This window comes from Homo sapiens, chromosome 4, assembly GCF_000001405.40.
Source record: "Homo sapiens chromosome 4, GRCh38.p14 Primary Assembly".
Lineage (NCBI taxonomy): Eukaryota > Metazoa > Chordata > Mammalia > Primates > Hominidae > Homo > Homo sapiens.
Window position 1 is genome coordinate 143,582,171 of NC_000004.12, and position 21,660 is coordinate 143,603,830.

The 21,660-nt window shown below is 40.2% G+C and overlaps 1 protein-coding gene across 1 annotated transcript in view; it reads right to left on the bottom strand.

Annotated features, from left to right (window-relative positions):
* The window catches only part of FREM3 (FRAS1 related extracellular matrix 3), a 123,374-nt gene that overhangs the window by 4,869 nt on the left and 96,845 nt on the right, over positions 1-21,660 (bottom strand). Inside the window, exon 7 of the mRNA NM_001168235.2 lies at positions 3,674-3,823. Coding sequence (NP_001161707.1) covers positions 3,674-3,823 — 150 coding nt within the window. The remainder of the gene's footprint in view (positions 1-3,673; positions 3,824-21,660) is intronic.

Genomic DNA, 21,660 nt, shown 5'->3' on the forward strand with positions numbered 1-21,660 from the left:
GAGAGGGAGTGTAAAGCCTGAGCTTGCCTCAAGGCTGCGGTGTATAGCTTAGGAGTGCAAAGCCAAGATCTGCAGCCAGCACTCAGGTAAGAGAGGAACCCACACTGTTAGAGTGCTGAGAGGGAACATGGCTGCAAATGCACAGAGGAGCCATGTGGCTGAGTAAGAGCCTGCCTACCAGCCGTTACACTTACACGCCATCTACTAGATCACAGCCCAAACTTCAAAACCAAAAATACTTTGCATATAACACCCTGTGAAACCAAGGACAAGAATTCAGCTACATATGAAGACCCTGAACAAAGCCTTGGCCCTCTGAAAACGTCCAGAAACAAAGTCAATTGACTATATTAAAATTACACCACAGTTAAAGGAATATCAGCCCATACAGATGAGAAAGAACTAGCGTAAGAACTCTGGCAATTCAAAAAGCTATAGTGTCTTCCTTCCTCCAAATGACTGCACTAGTTCCCCAGCAATGGTTCTTAACCAGGCTGAAATGACTGAAATAACAGACATAGAATTCAGAATATGGATAGGAATAAAGATCATCGAGAATCAGGTGAAAGTCAAAACCAATCCAAGGAATCTAGGGATAATAATAAAATGATATAATAACTGAAAGATGAAATGAAGAAAGAACCAACAGATCTGATAGAGCTGAAAACACTACAAGAATTTCATAATACGATTGAAAATATTTATTATTTTTAAATTAATTAATTTACTTTTTTTTTTTTGAGATGGGTTTGAACTCTGTCACCCAGGCTGGAATGTATGGCTCATCACAGCCTCAACCTCCTGGGCTCAGGTGCTCTTCCCACCTCAGTCTTACAACTAGCTTGGACTACAGGTGCACACCACCATGCCGGGCTAATTTTTTTGTATTTTTTGAAGAGATGGGGTTTTGCCATGTTGCCCACATTGGACTCAAGCAATCCACCTGCCTAGGCCTCCAAAAGTGCTAGGATTACAGATGAGAGCCACTGTGCCGGGCCAATTGCAAGTATTAACAACAGAATTGGCCAAGCTGAGGAAAGAATCTCATAGCAAAAAGGTTCTCTGAATGAACAGAATCAAAAATAAAGAGAAAAGAATAAAAAAGAATGTGCAAAACTTCTTAGAAATACGGGATTCTGTAAAGAGACCAAATCTACGACTCATTGGCATCCCTGAAAGACAGGGAGAGAAACCAAACAACTTGGAAAATATATTTGAAGATACTGTCCATGCATATTTCCCCAACTTCACTAGAGAGGCCAAAATTCAAATTCAGGAAATGCAGAGAACCCTTTAAGATACTGTATAAGACAACTATCCCTAAGACACATAGTCATCAGACTCTCCAAGGTTGACATGAAAGAAAAAAATATTAAAGGCAGCTAAAGAGAAGAGAAAGGCAGCAAAGAGAACCTCATCAGGCTAACAGCATATCTTTCAGCAGAAACTCTACAGGCCAGAAGAGATTAGGGGCCTTTATTAAGCATTATTAAAAAAAAAAAAGAATCTCAACCAAGAATTTTATATCCAGCCAAACTAAGCTTCATCAAAAAAGGAGAAATAAGATCTTCATCAGACAAGCAAATGTTAAGGGCATTCATTACCACCAGACCTGCCTTACAAGAGGTTTTTAAAGGAGCACTAAATATGGAAATGAAAGACCATTATGGCCACCACAAAAACACACTTAAGTACATAGACCATTGACACTATAAAGCAACTACACAATTGAGTCTGCATAATAAACCGCTAACAACAAGATGACAGCATTAAATCCTCACATATCAAATATTAACCTTGAATGAAAACAGGCTAAATGACCCAATTAAAAGGCCACAGAGTTGCAAGTTAGATAAAGAAGAAAGATCCAACCACATGCTGTCTTCAAAAGACCCATCTCACATGCAATGACAGTCATAGGTTCAAAGTAAAGGGATGGAGAAAAATCTACCAAACAGGCTGGGCGCGGTGGCTCACGCCTGTAATCCCAGCACTTTGGGAGGCCGAGGCGGGTGGATCATGAGGTCAGGAGATCGAGACCATCCTGGCTAACAAGGTGAAACCCTGTCTCTACTAAAAATACAAAAAATTAGCCGGGCGCGGTGGCGGGCGCCTGTGGTCCCAGCTACTCGGGAGGCTGAGGCAGGAGAATGGCGTGAACCCGGGAAGCGGAGCTTGCAGTAAGCCGAGATTGCGCCACTGCGGTCCGCAGTCCGGCCTGGGCGACAGAGCGAGACTCCGTCTCAAAAAAAAAAAAAAAAAAAAAATCTACCAAACAAATGGAAAACAAAAAAAGCAGGGGTTGCTATTCTAATTTCAGACAAAACAGACTTTAAGCCAGCAATGATAAAAAAGACAAAGACAGGCATTATATAATCGTAAAGGGTTTAATTCAACAAGAAGACTTAACTATCCTGAATATTTATGTGCCCAACAGAGGAGTATCCTCATTCATAAAACAAGTCCTTAAAGACCTATGAAGAGACTTAGATAACCATACAATAATAATGGGAGACTTCAACACCCTATTGACAGTATTAGACAGACCATCAAGGCAGAAAAGTAATGAAGATATTTGGGACCCAAATTTGACACTTAACCAAATGGACCTAATAGACATTTATAACACTCTCCACCCAAAACCAACAGAATATACATTCTTCTCTTCTGCACATACACGTACTCTAAAATCGACTACACCGTTGGCCATAAAAATTATTAGCAAATTCAAAAAATTCAGAAGTATACCATCCACACTCTCAGATTATATAACAATAAAAATAGAAACCAATACCATGAAGATCACTCAAAACCATACAATTACATGGAAATTAAACAGCCTGCTCCTGAATGACTTCTGGGTAAACAATGTAATTAAGGCAGAAACCAAGAAATTTTTTTGAAACTAATGAGAACAAAGATACAACATACCAGAACTTCTGGGACACAGCTAAAGCAGTATTAAGAGGAAAGTTTATAGTGCTAAATGCTCACATCAAAAAGTTAGAAAGATATAAAATTAACAACCTAACACCACACCAAAAGGTCACAACTGCAAATGAGAAAATGTGGGCATCAATGTACATGGAAATGTCCTTTTCTTTTCCTATTGGGTCCTGTTCTTTTTCTGATAAAGCACCTGACAGGTACTCTAGAGGAAATGATATCTAGAATTGTGCCATGCTGTCAGCTAGGCCTTGATCATCCATGTCAGGAAATGCAAAGGTGAGCAGGGCATGAAGACATGCTGTTTGAAGCTAAGGCAAATGCCTGAGTCTGAAGTGAAAACCTCCTACACTTCAAAGGTCTAATATGTGACGAGATTCTTCCACGAGTTGGGACTTGCTTGGCCATTATGGGGGTAATTTCATCTGAAATATTGTTTATGAGCAGCTTTAGGTATCTATAAATATTCTGAACTTTGGAAAAATTAATGTGAGCCCATGACAAGCCAGTGGGTAATAAATGAATCATAAAGGCTGCTGTTTGAATAATGTACTTATTTTGTAACCAGCAGAAGTCATTATGTATACAAACCATCTACGTGCTGAAGCCAGAGAAACTTTCATTCAGAGTCCATCAACAAAGACTAAGCATGCTTACACTTAACAGACTAGACTCCACCATAAACATGTATCATGATAATGATATATTCTTTAAGTGGCCCTCTCACCTTCTGCTGACTCCTGCTCTGACTTTCTGGAGCGCACGGCGATGGATGATGGTTGGGAAAGATCAGTGCCTCTTCTCCAAACACAAACCTCCACGTAGCGAGCACTTTCATTGACGTGATATTCAGCATCCCCAAAGTGCAGGACAGGTTCTAAAGAGGCAAAAAAAGATACACTAAGAATGCTTCAGCCTGCCTGGTATACTGTCTCCTTTGGCCCTGTGTGAGCCTGGGCATTTGTCATAATTGTCAGACATGACAGATCCCATAGGTCTTGTTTTTTTATATAGCTCAGGGAGAACAAAAACAAAAACACACAAAAAGCCACATCAGAGTCACATACCATGACTTTGACTCCAGGAAATGCCATGAGATGAAGTCAGTTGAGATGCTATTCATTTTTTTGTTTTAAGAACTTTCCATTACATAGAAGAGATTTTCCTATTAGGGAAAATTGGCCAATCAGCTGTAACTCAGGCAAGTCCACTATTGTTTGGGAAAAGATGGTGGAGAAGTTAGAGAGGCTTTTTTTGGCAGGGAGAAAATTGCTCTTCCTGTGGAGGGACAGTTGAGCCAGAATTCTGAGTTTGATCACTATGGCTATGCCTTTTCTTAGGGCATTTGCTGATTACAGGGACAGATGGAAATCCTGGGGCAGTGAATGAGGGGGAGGAGAGATCCTGTTAGCTGAGATGCCAGAAGCGCTTCCCCAGGAGACCAAGAAGTGACTCCATAGAAAAAGAAGGCTGAAGGAGAACAACCAGCACAGACACCAGGCTTCAGCGGTGGGTAGAAGGGAATTGTACATCTTCTAAAAGGAGAAAGAGGTTGACAATGCGAATGTTGCTTTGGCCAAGCAAATACACTTATCCATACCCCGTTCGCTCTTGTTCTAAAAGGTAGCTATGAACTTAGGTGATTATTTAAAGCATATACAAGGCTTAGCTGTAACAATACCTACTATATGTACTGTCATGAAAAAGATTTTGAGATGAATACTTTTGTTGGCTGTGACATCTGGAGGCAAAAAATGTAAATATTAGGAAGCAGATTCACCATGGAGGAACAACCCCTTGAGGTTGTTGAACGGAAAATTAGTTATGGAGATGACACCTTTGCAAATATATTGCAATGCACCAGGAGTGTATCTGAATTTAAATTCAAATTTTTGGAGGCTAGGAATCAGATTTAGTAAATATTATTTGTTTCAAGATGTATTTTAGTAGATCTTTTAACTGCTGAGGGAGTAGTAGTAGTAAAACTGCAAGACCTCTCCTGTCCTGGTTATGCCAAACAGCTCCCAATACACTGAACACAGCATGCATTTGTGAGCCTCCATCTTTGTTGATGATGTTCTCTGAGCTGGAATGTGCCAATATGGCAAATGCCTACTCATTTTTTTAAGACTTTATTGATAAAGAGTTGCCTTCTCTGGGAAGCCATATTTATTTCCTCAATAAATAATCATTCTTCACTCTGTGCTTCCCTAACATTTCAAATAGTTCTATAACTGTAGTGATGGAATACACTTGCAATTTGCTCACCTCAGGCATACAGCAGGCAGGTGGCCTGCACTCAGAAAAGGGTGGTAGGGTCATTCTTTCTTTTCTTTTTAATGAACATGTAGTAATTGTATGTATTTATGGGGTACATAGTGGTGTTTTGATATATTTATGGCACAGTGATCAGGTCAGGGTAATGCACATATCCCATTCTTTCTTCTCTTACCAAGAACTTTCTCCTCATTATTGCTAATGGGTGTTTCTGATGCCTCCACGGTTGGGACAGGAAAGAAGGAGGATAGGCAGGAGTAGCAGGAAAGTTCTTTCTTGAACACTTTCATGGATGTCAGTACTCTTTGGTTTTGGAAGATGGAAGAAAAGCTGATCCTGTTTATCATGGGCACTTCTGCAGGTTCTTTGGGATCTCTCACTCCCACAGTTGGGTATCTCTTATCTGCAGTTCTCTTGATGAGGATGAAACAGATATATTCTGGCTGATCACTTAATCATTCCTCAACCTATTTAGCATTTGGAAGTACCTCTGTTCAGCCCTCTAGATGGCACCTTTGGACAAGTTCATTCTGGCTCACTCTTGTATGCATGGCTCACATGTGGTCCATGGCAACCTTCCTGCATCCTCTGCCTTGATAAACTCCAGGAATACCACTTAACCCCAATGCAGTCCCTCTCTTTTGTTCATCCACCAAAGCAGCCAACCAGTTTATCTCCCACATTCAGATTTTCCAGGCAGAGCCAGATCCCAGTTCATTGTGTTCTCCACATTGCAGGTGGCACACATCATACTGCCCAAATGGTCTCCTTCGAGCCCCCTCTCTTGATTTAGCACCTCTTTAAAATGCAAAAATGTTAAATTTACCATTCTAACATGCTATCCTGTGTTTTTTTTATTATTATTATACTTTAAGTTTTAGGGTACATGTGCACAATGTACAGGTTTGTTACATATGTATACATGTGCCATGTTGGTACGCTGTACCCATTAACTCATCATTTAGCATTAGGTATATCTCCTAATGCTATCCCTCCCCCATCCCCCCACCCCACAACAGGCCCCAGTGTGTGATGTTCTCCTTCCTGTGTCCATGTGTTCTCATTGTTCAATTCCCACCTATGAGTGAGAACATGCAGTGTTTGGTTTTTTCTCCTCGCGATAGTTTGCTGAGAATGATGGTTTCCAGCTTCATCGATGTCCCTACAATGGACATGAACTCATCATTTTTTATGGCTGCATAGTACTCCATGGTGTATATGTGCCACATTTTCTTAATCCAGTCTATCATTGTTGGACATTTGGGTTGGTTCCAAGTCTTTGCTATTGTGAATAGTGCCACAATAAACATACGTGTGCATGTGTCTTTATAGCAGCATGATTTATATTCCTTTGGGTATATACCCAGTAATGGGATGGCTGGGTCAAATGGTATTTCTAGTTCTAGATCCCTGAGGAATCGCCACACTGACTTCCACAATGGTTGAACTAGTTTACAGTCCCACCAACAGGGTAAAAGTGTTCCTATTTCTCCACATCCTCTCCAGCACCTGTCGTTTCCTGACTTTTTAATGATCACCATTCTAACTGGTGTGAGATGGTATCTCATTGTGGTTTTGATTTGCATTTCTCTGATGGCCAGTGATGATGAGCATTTTTTCATGTGTTTTTTGGCTGCATAAATGTCTTCTTTTGAGAAGTGTCTGTTCATGTCCTTGGCCCACTTGTGGATGGGGTTGTTTTTTTCTTGTAAATTTGTTTGAGTTCACTGTAGATTCTGGATATTAGCCCTTTGTCAGATGAGTAGGTTGCAAAAATTTTCGCCCATTCTGTAGGTTGCCTGTTCACTCTGATGGTGGTTTCTTTTGCTGTGCAGAAGTTCTTTAGTTTAATTAGATCCCATTTGTCAATTTTGGCTTTTGTTGCCATTGCTTTTGGTGTTTTAGACATGAAGTCCTTGCCCATGCCTATGTCCTGAATGGTATTGCCTAGGTTTTTTTCTAGGGTTTTTATGGTTTCAGGTCTAACATGTAAGTCTTTAATCCATCTTGAATTAATTTTTGTATAAGGTGTAAGGAAGGGATCCAGTTTCAGCTTTCTACATGTGGCTAGCCAGTTTTCCCAGCACCATTTATTAAATAGGGAATCCTTTCCCCATTGCTTGTTTTTCTCAGGTTTGGCAAAGATCAGATAGTTGTAGATATGTGGCATTATTTCTGAGGGCTCTCTTCTGTTCCATTGGTCTATATCTCTGTTTTGGTACCACTACCATGCTGTTTTGGTTACTGTAGCCTTGTATTATAGTTTGAAGTCAGGTAGCGTGATGCCTGCAGCTTTGTTCTTTTGGCTTAGGATTGACTTGGCGATGTGGGCTCTTTTTTGGTTCCATATGAACTTTAAAGTAGTTTTTTCGAATTCTGTGAAGAAAGTCATTGGTGTCTTGATGGGGATGGCATTGAATCTGTAAATTACCTTGGGCAGTATGGCCATTTTCACAATATTGATTCTTCCTACCCATGAGCATGGAATGTTCTTCCATTTCTTTGTATCCTCTTTTATTTCCTTGAGCAGTGGTTTGTAGTTCTCCTTGAAGAGGTCCTTCACCTCCCTTGTAAGTTGGATTCCTAGGTATTTTATTGTCTTTGAAGCAATTGTGAACGGGAGTTCACTCATGATTTGGCTCTCTGTCTGTTATTGGTGTATAAGAATGCTTGTGATTTTTGCACATTGATTTTGTATCCTGAGACTTTGCTGAAGTTGCTTATCAGCTTAAGGAGATTTTGGGCTGAGACGATGGGGTTTTCTAGATATACAATCATGTCATCTGCAAACAGGGACAATTTGACTTCCTCTTTTCCTAATTGAATACCCTTTATTTCCTTCTCCTGCCTGACTGCCCTGGCCAGAACTTCCAACACTATGTTGAATAGGAGTGATGAGAGAGGGCATCCCTGTCTTGTGCCAGTTTTCAAAGGGAATGTTTCCAGTTTTTGCCCATTCAGTATGATATTGGCTGTGGGTTTGTCATAGATAGCTCTTATTATTTTGTGATACGTCCCATCAATACCTAATTTATTGAGAGTTTTTAGCATGAAGCATTGTTGAATTTTGTCAAAGGCCTTTTCTGCATCTATTGAGATAATCACGTGTTTTTTGTCTTTGGTTCTGTTTATATGCTGGATTACGTTTATTGATTTTTGTATGTTGAACCAGCCTTGCATCCCAGGGATGAAGCCTACTTGATCATGGTGGATAAGCTTTTTGATGTGTTGCTGGATTCAATTTGCCAGTATTTTATTGAGGATTTTTGCATCAATGTTCATCAAGGATATTGGTCTAAAATTCTCTTTTTTTGCTGTGTCTCTGCCAGGCTTTGGTATCAGGATGATGCTGGCCTCATAAAATGAGTTAGGGAGGATTCCCTCTTTTTCTATTGATTGGAATAGTTTCAGAAGAAATGGTACCAGCTCCTCCTTGTACCTCTGGTAGAATTCGGCTGTGAATCCATCTGGTCCTGGTCTTTTTTTGGTTGGTAAGCTATTAATTATTGCCTCAATTTCAGATTCTGTTATTGGTCTATTCAGAGATTCAACTTCTTCCTGGTTTAGTCTTGGGAGAGTGTATATGTCGAGGAATTTATCCATTTCTTCTAGATTTTCTAGTTTATTTGCATAGAGGTGTTTATAGTATTCTCTGATGGTAGCTTTTATTTCTGTGGGATCAGTGGTGATATCCCCTTTGTCATTTTTTATTGCGTCTATTTGATTCTTCTCTCTTTTCTTCTTTATTGGTCTTGCTAGCAGTCTATCAGTTTTGTTGATCTTTTCAAAAAACCAGCTCCTGGATTCATTGATTTTTTTGAAGGGTTTTTTGTGTCTCTATCTCCTTCAGTTCTGCTCTTATCTTAGTTATTTCTTGCCTTCTGCTAGCTTTTGAATGTGTTTGCTCTTGCTTCTCTAGTTCTTTTAATTGTGATGTTAGGGTGTGAATTTTAGATCTTTCCTGCTTTCTCTTGTGGGCATTTAGTGCTATAAATTTCCCTCTACACACTGCTTTGAATGTGTCCCAGAGATTCTGCTATGTTGTGTCTTTGTTCTCATTGGTTTCAAAGAACATCTTCATTTCTGCCTTCATTTCGTTATGTACCCAGTAGTCATTCAGGAGCAGGTTGTTCAGTTTCCATGTAGTTGAGCGGTTTTGAGTGAGTTTCTTAATCCTGAGTAGTAGTTTGATTGCACTGTGGTCTGAGAGACAGTTTGTTATAATTTCTGTTCTTTTACATTTTCTGAGGAGAGCTTTACTTCCAACTATGTGGTCAGTTTTGGAATAGGTGTGGTGTGGTGCTGAAAAGAATGTATATTCTGTTGATTTGGGGTGGAGAGTTCTGTAGATGTCTATGAGGTCCACTTGGTGCAGAGCTGAGTTCAATTCCTGGATATCTTTGTTAACTTTCTGTCTCACTGATCTGTCTAATGTTGACAGTCGGGTGTTAAAGTCTCCCATTATTATTGTGTGGGAGTCTAAGTCTCTTTGTAGGTCACTAAGGACTTGCTTTATGAATCTGGATGCTCCTGTACTGGGTACATATATATTTAGGATAGTTAGTTGTTCTTGTTGAATTGATCCCTTTACCATTATGTAATGGCCTTCTTTGTCTCTTTTGATCTTTGTTGGTTTAACATCTGTTTTATCAGAGACTAGGATTGCAACCCCTGCCTTTTTTTGTTTTCCATTTGCTTGGTAGATCTTCCTCCATCCCTTTATTTTGAGCCTATGTGTGTCTCTGCACGTGAGATGGGTTTCCTGAATACAGCACACTGGTGGGTCTTGACGCTTTATCTAATTTGCCAGTCTGTGTCTTTTAATTGGAGCATTTAGCCCATTTACATTTAAGGTTAGTATTGTTATGTGTGAATTTGATCCTGTCATTATGATGTTGGCTGGTTATTCTGCCCATTAGTTGATGCAGTTTCTTCCTAGCCTTGATGGTCTTTACAATTTGGCATGTTTTTGCAGTGGCTGGTACTGGTTGTTCCTTTCCATGTTTAGTGCTTCCGTCAGGAGCTCTTTTAGGACAGGCCTCGTGGTGACAAAATCTCTCAGCATTTGCTTGTCTGTGAAGTATTTTATTTCTCCTTTGCTTGTGAAGCTTAGTTTGGCTGGATATGAAATTCTGGGTTGAAAATTCTTTTCTTTAAGATTGTTGAATATTGGCCCCCTCTCTCTTCTGGCTTGTAGAGTTTCTGCTGAGAGATCAGCAGTTAGTCTGATGGGCTTCCCTTTGTGGGTAACCCGACCTTTCTCTCTGGCTGCCCTTAACATTTTTTCCTTCATTTCAACTTTGGTGAATCTGACAATTATGTATCTTGGAGTTGCTCTTCTCAAGGAGTATTTGTGGCATTCTCTGTATTTCCTGAATTTGAATGTTGGCCTGCCTTGCTAGATTGGGGAAGTTCTCCTGGATAATATCCTGCAGAGTGTTTTCCAACTTGGTTCCATTCTCCCCGTCACTTTCAGGTACACCAGTCAGACGTAGATTTGGTCTTTTCACATAGTCCCATATTTCTTGGAGGCTTTGCTCGTTTCTTTTTATTCTTTTTTCTCTAAACTTCTCTTTATGCTTCATTTCATTCATTTCATCTTCCATCGCTGTTACCCTTTCTTCCAGTTGATCGCATCGGTTACTGAGGCTTGTGCATTCATCACATTCTCGTGCTGTGGTTTTCAGCTCCATCAGGTCCTTTAAGGACTTCTCTGCATTGGTTATTCTAGTTATCCATTTATCTAATTTTTTTCAAAGTTTTTAACTTCTTTGCCATTGGTTCGAACTTCCTCCTTTAGCTTGGAGTAGTTTGATCTATTGAAGCCTTCCTCTCTCAACTCGTCAAAGTCATTCTCTGTCCAGCTTTGTTCCGTTGCTGGTGAGGAGCTGCGTTCCTTTGGAGGAGGAGAGGTGCTCTGATTTTTAGAGTTTCTGGTTTTTCTGCTCTGTTTTTTCCCCATCTTTGTGGTTTTATCTACCTTTGGTCTTTGATGATGGTGACGTACAGATGGGTTTTTGGTGTGGATGTCCTTTCTGTTTGTTAGTTTTCCTTCTAACAGTCAGGACCCTCAGCTGCAGGTCTGTTGGAGTTTACTGGAGGTCCACTCCAGACCCTGTTTGCCTGGGTATCAGCAGCGGTGGCTGAAGAACAGCGGATATTGGTGAACTGCAAATGCTGCTGCCTGATCGTTCCTCTGGAAGTTTTGTCTCAGAGGAGTACCCGGCTGTGTGAGGTGTCAGTCCACCCCTACTGGGAGGTGCCTCCCAGTTAGGCTACTCGGGGGTCAGGGACCCACTTGAGGAGGCAGTCTGCCCGTTCTCAGATCTCAAGCTGCATGCTGGGAGAACCACTACTCTCTTCAAAGCTGTCAGATAGGGACATTTAAGTCTGCAGAGGTTATTGCTGTCTTTTGTTTGTCTGTGCCCTGCCTCCAGAGGTGGAGTCTACAGAGGCAGGCAGGCCTCCTTGAGCTGTGGTGGGCTCTACCCAGTTTGAGCTTTCCAGCCGCTTTGGCTCAAGCCTCGGCAATGGCGGGTGCCCCTCCTCCAGCCTCGCTGCCACCTTGCAGTTTGATGTCAGACTGCTGTGCTAGCAATGAGCGAGGCTCTGTGGGCGTAGGACCCTCTGAGCCATGTGCAGGATATAATCTCCTGGTGTGCCGTTTGAGAAGCCCGTTGGAAAAGTGCAGTAGTAGGGTGGGAGTGACACGAGTTTCCAGGTGCCGTCTGTCACCCCTTTCTTTGACTAGGAAAGGGAATTCCCTGATCTCTTGTGCTTCCCGGGTGAGGCGATGCCTGGTCCTGCTCCATCTCACACACGGTGCACTGCACCCACTGCCCTGCACCCACTGTCCGACACTCCCCAGTAAGATGAACCTGGTACCTCAGTTGGAAATGCAGAAATCACCCGTCTTCTGTGTCGCTCACGCTGGGAGCTGTAGACTGGAGCTGTTCCTATTTGGCCATCTTGGCTCCACCCTCTGTCCTGTGTTTTTATCAGAGTCTTATGAACTGTTCTCAAGGTCAGGCACCATATTCTATATGCCCTTGTATTTTTAGTGATGCAGTGGCTGGCATATTGACAAAGTCTCAAGAATTTGTCAAATGGACATTTTTAACTCTCTTCTGATGTATTTTGAACTTATTACAAAGTTTGTTGAAAAAAACTTTGAACAAAGTTACCTACATTTTTAGCAGAGGAATTATATTGTGTGGCATTGGGGAAGGGCAAGAAGTGAGAAAGGTAAAAAACATTTGGATCAGTTGTACTGTTGTTTAGAGAAAAAAATGTCAGAACTCAAGCCTCTGAATACACTAAGATATAAGACATGAGAGGAGGGTAGTGTCACTTGGAAAAAATGTCATGAAATTCTTTCTAGATGCTCTAGGTATTGAGCATCAGGAGATCTGTCAGAACAGAGAAAACAGCTCCTCCATGTAGCACAGAAGAGTTTCCAAGTACTCTTTACCTTAGCTCTGTCTGAGAAACTGAGATGCTAGCAGTGATTCTAAAGGATGGGCAATTAGAAGAATATGATGCTTTGGCCACATCACATTTATGTTAAATGGATTCCACAGCCATAGATGTGTTTTAATCTCCTTTAAGAGAGAATGTTCTTTAAATGAAAATAGGAAAAATAAATATGACAAGGTCAGAAATTAAGCTCTCAAAGAGATAAAATTATCATTTAAAATGAGTTCAGTGTTCATATTCGGAGACGCTTAATGCCAGGTTTTGCAGGTGAGGTAACAGAAACACTGTTGGTAAACTGAGAAACCATACAGAACAGAATGGATGCCAAAAAATGGAAGATAGGAAAATATTTTTCCAGTTGTCTCAGGATAGAAAACAGATTCTAGAAACAGACGGGTAGGCTTAATCTTTAGAACAATTCTAGAGCTGCTTATTTAAACAGGTTTTGAATTCTGAGAAAAGAAAGACAATGCCCATTGGTCAGTATTGGTTCTGTAATATCAGATTTGGCAAAGCCAATTCAATGTTTTTTTAAAAAATATTTTTTACTTCAGTTCAACGAACATCTATTGAGCATCCCCTATGTGCTGTAAGCATGGTGCTAGTTACTGGGAATGTAAACAGATATACAGTCTTGTTTTTGAGATATTTTTGGTATGACAGGGCCTCCACACCAGTTCCTTCTTTTGCTGTAGCACTTAGGATTTCATTCAGCTATGCTATAGCAAAAGAAGGGAGCCGGGCACCGTGGCTCTTGCCTGTAATCCCAGCACTTTGGGAGGCCAAGGTGGGCGGATCACGAGGTCTGCAGATCAAGACCATCCTGGCTAACACGGTGAAACCCCGTCTCTACTAAAAATACAAAAAAATTAGCCAGGTGTGGTGGCAGGCTCCTGTAGTCCCAGTTACTTGGGAGGCTGAGGCAGAAGAATGGCGTGAACCTGGGAGGCAGAGCTTGCAGTGAGCTGAGATCACGCCACTGCACTCCAGTCTGGGCGACAGAGCGAGACGCCATCTCAGAAAAAAAAAAAAAAAGAAGGAACTGCCTTTGAGGCTCAGAAGGAGTCCTGGAGAAAATAAGGTGCTATGTCTTTAAAAATGAGTGAGAATTGACCAATGAGAGAGGTGGGAAAAATGTTCCAGGTAGAGTGGCTAGTAGGAACAAAGACACATAAGCATGAAAAAAGCCTACCGTTTAGGAAGGGATGCAAGAACTTGTTTATTGGTAGTGTGTAAGGTGAGAACAGAGGAATGTTTGGAATGAATTTAGAGAGGAACATAATCATTTTAGGTAGATGGGACTTGATATTTTAGATTTTATAGAATGTGGAAACCAATTTTAGGCAGTGAAAAGGTGTTTGGTTTTTGTTTTCTGCACATCTGTCCAGTGTCAGTGTGGGCCATGAATTTAGGAGGAATTAGTGCAACCCATTAGAAAGGTATTGCAATTATTCATGTGAGACATGATGATGATTGATGATACTACTAGTAGGCAGTAGTATTAGTGATGGAGTGGAAGAGGTGAATGTAAGAAATGCCCTGAACAGCACCCACTGACTAATGTAGCACTTCTGGGATGCCCTGCAAGTTTCTAGTGTTTGTGGGTGGGAGTGGGAGGCACTAATTCAGTTGGGAATAAAGCAGGTGGAACAGCATTGACTGAGGGTAAGAGAAAGAAAGATGATGAGTTTGGTTATAGGTAAGTTGAATTTGAATGGCCTGTGGTGCATTTAAGTAGATATTTTGGAAAAACCCTTTCATGCATGAATCTAGAGTTCAAAATCAAGCCTCACAGTGGTTCATGCCTGTAATTCCAGCACTTTGGGAGGCCGAGGAGAGGGGATCACTTGAGACCAGGAGTTCGAGACCAGCCTGGAAAACATAGCGAGATCCCATCTCTATAAAAAAATAAAGAAATAATTAGCTGGGTGTGGTGCATATGCCTGTAGTCCCAACTTTGTGGGAGGCTGAGGTGGGAGGATCACTTGAGCCCAGGAGATTGTGGCTGCAGTGAGCCATGATTGTACCATTGCACAGCAGTCTGAGGAAAAGAGTGAGACTTTGTCTCAAAAAATAAAAAATCAAGCTAGGGCTGGAGATAAGATTTGGAAGTCTTAAGCATACAGATTGGGGTTAATCCTATATTAGATGGTATGATCGTCTACTATGGATGAATAAAAAGAGGATCATAGCGGGGAGCATCAACCCTTGGGGAGAAAGACCGAGTGACAGGAGCCCCAAAAAGAGACCAAAAACAAACAGACAGAAAAATAAGCAAACAAGCAAAAACAAACAAGCAAAAAATCGTTGGCGAGAGGGAGAGAGAGGAGTTTGAAACAGGAAAATCAAGAGAGTAAAGAATCTTGAGAAGAATGAGTGGTGACAATGTCAAACGCAGCGAGCACATCCAGAAAGATACATGTAAGCCAACAGTGGACGTCAACGGCAAAAACCCAAAACACATCGTATGAAACTTTAAGCTGAATAAGGTAAATTAACTATAGTGCCCAAATGAAAGGAGATAGAAAATCTACTCAGGAAGACCTGCTTAGATAAACACAGTTTTTATGCCAGTATCTTACTATTTTGACTACTGTTGCTTTGTAAATATTTTGAAATCAGGAAATGTGATGCTTCCAGCTCTGCTCTTCTTTCTCAGAACTGTTTTGGCTTTTAAAACCAATAAATACATTCAGTACAGTTGCAAAATACAAATCAACATACAAAAATCACTAGCATTTCTTTATACTAATAACAAACTATCTGAAAAGAAAATTAGGAAAACAACCCCATTTACATTCAAATACTATCAGAATAAAACACTTAGGCATAAACTTAACTAAGGCAGGGAAAGACTTGTACACTGCACTGAAAACTACAAAACATTGATAAAAAAATTAAAGAAGACATACAAATGGAAAGACATCCTGTGTTCATTAAAACATCCATTCTACTGAAGGCAATCTACAGATTCAAATACCACATAAACTGAGTAACTTATAAACAACAGAAATTTATCACAGTTCTGGAGACTTGGAAGTCTAAGATCAAAGCATCGGCAGATGCAGCATCTGGTAATGGTCCACCTTCTAGTTCATAGATGTTGCCTTCTTGCTATACACTTATATGACAAAAGAGGTGAGGGGTCTCTTTCAGGTCTCTTACATAAGGGAACTAGTAGTGTTCATGAGGGCTCTGCCCTCATGACCTAATCACCTTCCAAAGTCCCCACCTCCTAATGCTATCACCTTGGAGGTTAGAATTTCAGCATATAAATTTGGGGGAGACACAAACATTCAGTCCACTGCAGTGGCCCTCAGCATCTAGAGTATAGTGGGTTGCATCAGTGGTCTGAGGCAGGTAGACAGAAGCCAGTGACTTGGGCAGGCCCCAGTAAAAATCAGAGCATTTATGTGTGGTCACATCCTTTTCTTCCCTGCCCAGGTACAAGCTGTAATATCAGCTTGGAGCTGTTTTCTTTTCCCCGTCCACTCACTTTGCACTGAGCTGAAGGTTGCAGCTGTGGCATATGCTAGCTTGCTATTATGAACTCTAGTTTTGTTCTCAGTAATAGCTTCTGGACATCTATAGTATGTGAGATTGTTAGTGCTCAGTGACAGGTGACACAGAAGCCAGTGTTCTGTGCATGCCCCAGAAAAGTCAAGGCATTAGATATATGGTGCTTCTCTTCTCCTCCTTCCTCAAAGAAAAGCTTGGAGCTCCCAGTTGTATGTCACTGTGCTAGGGGCTTTGGACAAGAGGGTGTCTTGAACTCTCCTACCAGTTTTTATGTATAAGCATAATGATGTTTTGCTCAATGGTTGACCATATATATAAAATGGTTGTCCCATATGATCATAATACTGTATTTTTATTATACCTTTTCTATTTTAGATACACAAATACTTGCCATTGTGTCCCAGTTGCCTACAGTATTCAGTACAGTAACATGCTGTACAGATGTGTAGCCTAGGAGTAATAGGTTATACCATATAGCCTATGTGCATAGTAGGCTATACCATCCAGGTTTGTGTAAGTATACTCTATGATATTTGTACAACATTGAAATTTCCTTAAGAGATCCATTTCTCAGAACATATTGCTCTCATTAAGTGACACATGACTGTAGCTGGTTTTGTACTCAGCCTGGATATGGGAGTCTTACAGCTGGTTTTTGGATTTCTCATAAAGAGAATGTTAGTATTTTGCTCTTGAGTCAGTATGTCTGTAGAGGGAAGAAAAGTGTAGGAGGGTCTTCTGCCATCTTGCTCAGAAAGCTGATTTTTAAAAAAGAATTTTGGATCAGAATAAGGGCATTCTGTTAATTAAAGTTATTTAACCATAAATTTGGCTTTATTTTAAGTAGCAAACTCTGGGTCAATAGGATTTTTCAGAACAAAGAAAAATAACTAGCTGTCAGAGAGGCTAAGGGACACGATATTAGAGAAAGAGCACTGAACCTGGAATCTGGAAATAATAGGCTTCTCAGATTGTTCTTGCCTTGACTCAGTATGGACACTTGGGAAAGTCACTTTAACTCTCTGGGCCTTGCTTTCCTCATTTGTAAAATGAAGAGGTTGAACTAGATGACCTTTGAGGTTCCTTCTGGTCTTAATGATTCTGTGATGCAGAAGATATTTCTGCATTGGGATGTCATCCTTATAATTTATTGAGGTGGATATTAGAGGATTATGGTAGGAGGTGTGGAGGTAGAAACAGATCTGACTTGAATCATGTCAGACCTACCAGTGGAGATTCAACCACTTGGCAAGGCATGGTGTCCAAAGAATGTAGTAATTTAAAGTGTAACCTCTGGCAAAGGAACACTAGGCTAGAACAAAAGAATGGGGAAATCCAGAGCAGGAAAAATAGAGGATGAGGGAAAGGGTCTATTCTTGGGCTAGATTCAGGGGTACATACATTCTAGCCTCCAGGGAAATATCAAGTCCTAAGAGTGGAGACCAGGGTCTTGTTGATACTAGCGCAGGATGTGGAAAAAGAATTCCTGGCATAAGACCAGCTATCCACACATGAAATGTAGGATGGAAGACTTTGGCCCTGGACTATGGGCTCAGAAGCACCTCATCTGAAGAGAGAAATATAACTTAGGGAGCTATTTAAAAATCTAGTGGTTGGTCTTCACATTTTCTGAGTCATGCTGGCATCCAGCATGAGCTGGAGAATAGTCTGTGCCCTGGAGCAGAGGCATAGGAATTTTTAAAGAAGCCCTTAAATCTTTCCAACTGGTTGTAGTGGTCTTATTAAATCTGACAGTGGCTAGCATAAAAAGGAACAAAATAATGGCATTTGCAGCAACCTGGATGGAATTGCAGACCATTATTCTAAGTGAAGTAAACTCAGGAATGGAAAACTAAACATCATTTTGTTCTCACTTATAAGTGGGAGCTAAACCATGAGGACTTTGAGGATACAATGGACTTTGGGGACTCAGGAAAAAGGCTGGGAGGTAGGTGAGGGATAAAAGACTAGACATTAGGTACAATGTACACTGTTCGGGCGACAGGTGCACCAAAATCTCAAAAATCACCTCTAAAGAACTTATTTATGTAACCAAACACCACCTCTTCCCCAAAACCCTATTGAAATAAAAAAAAGAAATGACAAATGCATTAATTTAGACCTTAACCTTGTGTGCTTTCTATATAAAAAATAAAAAAGTTGTTTTGAACTTTGCAGTTGCCATTTAAACTATAATATGCTGTCAGCATAATGTGTCTAACAGTAAAATAATCCTAGGTCTACTTCTCCCAAGGTTACCTTCAAATATAAAAGTTGTGAAACTTCATAAAAAGATCTTATAATGGCTAGGAGAATGTAATCCATTTTCTTTAAGATTCAGCATAAAACCTAAAATAAATGTAACATAACTAACAAATATGGCTGTATGTGATTAAATATCTTGTTTACTAAATGCAGAAGAACTTAAGATATCATGGAGGCTGAAAAGACCACGCACAGCCAACATCTCTGCCTGAGAACTTTTTATCAGTGCTATCATTTCTATTGCAAGCAAGGGTGATCACTAGTCACTTCATTCTGGGAATGCTCTTTTCTCCTTTCTGTTTCTAAAGTCTTTTTTTTTTTTTTTGAGATGTTGGGTAATGGCCTCTAAAATATTTCCTTTCGTTAACTTTAAACTAAAAAATAAGATCCAAAATTAAAATTGTGATACTTTTAAAGCTTACAGCACTTGTTTTATAATATGACTAGCCCTAGAAAGCATAATGATACTATTTCTTCTGAACAGTTTCCTGGGTTTTTACAGCATAGCAATATATGTCTTTCACATTTTAAAAACTTTTATGTGTTGAAGTTTATCTTGGTCCATAACCACATTTTCAAAAAGTTGAATATGCTGATTTCACCAAAATGACACTTTGTTTATGCACAATTTTTCCTTACAATGTTTTCTTAAATCTGTCAACATTCTGTTAGATGCCCATTTAATGACAAAGATACTAAACTAGCTGGTAATATTTATAGGGAAATTTTACGCAAGTTTTCCAAATCCTACTGCCTCAGGACAAAATATATAACCCTCTGTGAAACTGGACATTTCTTTTTGTGGCAGGTTACTAGAGTTCTCAAATCACGTACTAAAAATTGAAAGAAAGTCTTTACTAGTTGAGTGGAGATAGTATAAAGTGCTTATATATAGAACAGACACATTTTTCAGATTAACAAGTGTTCTCAATTTTATCTTGCCCTTGATACAGGGCCAGTGGAAGTTAGGTTCTAAAGCCAGGTGAATAAATGTAAAGTTGCCATTCATTCACTCAGCAAACATTTATTAGGCAGATACTGTGGCCTCCACTCTCATGGAGCTGATGTTTTTATAATGGCTGTCTTGGCAGTGTGGGCCAGGGAGTCTGTCGTCCCTGGCCTGGGGTAATCTTAGTCTGTGGTTGCTCCTATACTTTTTCTTTTCTTTGTCTTACTCCATGATAGTTGTCCTTATAAAAGTATTTCTTCAGGTGATCCATTTGACAGGGGGATATTCAATCTCTGCTTAAGGAAGCAAACATTTCCTGGAGTCCAGCAAAATAGAATAAAATTCCTCAGCTCCATCTGGAAAAAAAAAAGCTTGCCCTTGAGCAACTTGGGTATATCTTTAGGTTGCTAGATACTGTGTCATCATTTGGCCTAAATGAAAACATGCTTTCGTTACAAGATGATGTATTTGACTCTCCTAAAAAGGAAGCATTATTGGTATCTAACATGTGCCTAAACTAGTAAACTATATGTAAAATCCTAACCCTGGGAAATGAATGTGTGCTTTTCCCGATATTTTCTCAAATAGTCAATTTTGAAGGACACATGTTTTATTTCTGACTGAAATGACGACTAAACTGCTGCTGGAGACACACCACACACAGGAATTTGACAGTTGGCTAATGCTTAGAAACTCGAATTAACAGAATTATCATTTCATGTCATTATTCTAAAAAAGATATAATTACGTGGGAAGTGCACTAATAATCCTTGTGGTTGTTTCCTCAAGGCCAAAATAAAATGATACCATTCAAAGGGATCATTAGAGTCACGAGTGGCAAAATGTGAATATCTGTAGGGTAGGGACTAAAGCAGAAGTATCTCCCAAAAAAGTCATACACTACAGCTGCCAAATGAGTGCCCCATGGGGGACATGAAGATGGGAGGAAGTCACACCTCAGAATTTTACAAACCAATACCTGCTCTGAAATATCATTAACTCTGACAGGAGATTCTGTCAGAGTTAAATATCATTAACTCTGGAGATTGAGCTGTTTTAGGGCACTCAGTAGAGTCAAGCTTGGGCTTAAAGGAATGTGACCAAATGTAACTTCAGTAGAGTCAGGCTAGGTTAGCATGGTTACATCTGCAGCACGGCCAACTGTTTTGTCCTGTATTTAAAGGAAAATGGCGTTAGCTGAAGTTAGCTCTGCATGAAACCTAGAGAAGAGCAAGCAGCCAAAAGAAGGAAAAATGGGTTGCCTGTTTCTAGCTATCTTAAGACAAAAGGTATTCTGACCTTGGATGCTGAGTCTTCAGGACCGTCAGCAGTTATTTTGCCCAGGATGGAGATGGCTGTTATTGGCTTGATGGGATTTCTCAGATCCCATTATCATCAGTTTCCTGCTTATGAAGTGGTTGCCCAGTAGAGCCTCCTTTAAGGAGAGAATCTATTAACCAGAGGACTCTGATTTTCAGTTTTCTTTGACTTTGATTTTCACTGTAATTTATAATTTGTCATTTTGGCACATATATCATGTCTCTTGTGGGTCTGCATCCTGTCTCTGTGCCCACAGACAAAATTGAGCTTCTAGACCTCTGACTCTGACAGGCCATGGACTGCAGTGATGAGCCAAGGAACTGCTTCTACATGGCTGGAAGACATCTAGGTGGTTTTAGAAATCTAAAAAGAGTGTTGCATCACTTGGCTTTGTAAAGAGATTGTGTAATGTACATAATCTTATGAATATCTAACCTTAAAATGATTTTGATACATTTTCTCAGATTTCTGGGATAAAAACCAGTGGCAATCAACTGTTATTGTTTGTCTCATTTCTTTTCTCCCAGTTGTCTCTGATTATGATGACCTCACGTGTGAAATGCCAAATGCGGTCTGCTCTTTAGACATAGTTGATCCATTTAATACATTCTGTAGCCTCAGTAGAATGACATGTTTCTGAGATGAGGAGTGCCAGATAAAGGAACAACTTAATGTAAATATGTTGATTTGGAAATAATTTGTGTATTATCTATATGAGAAAGAAAAAAAAACCTTTTTATCTGAGAAATGCAAGTCCCTTTAAATTATCCAGCCCAGAGAGGCATTTAAAATGTAACACCTGTCACATCCCACTCCCTCTTGACCTAAATAATATACTTGTTGAAGTGACTTGCTGTGGGGACTCTAGACTAACTCATGCCGAGCAGCCATAAAATGTCATACCCCCT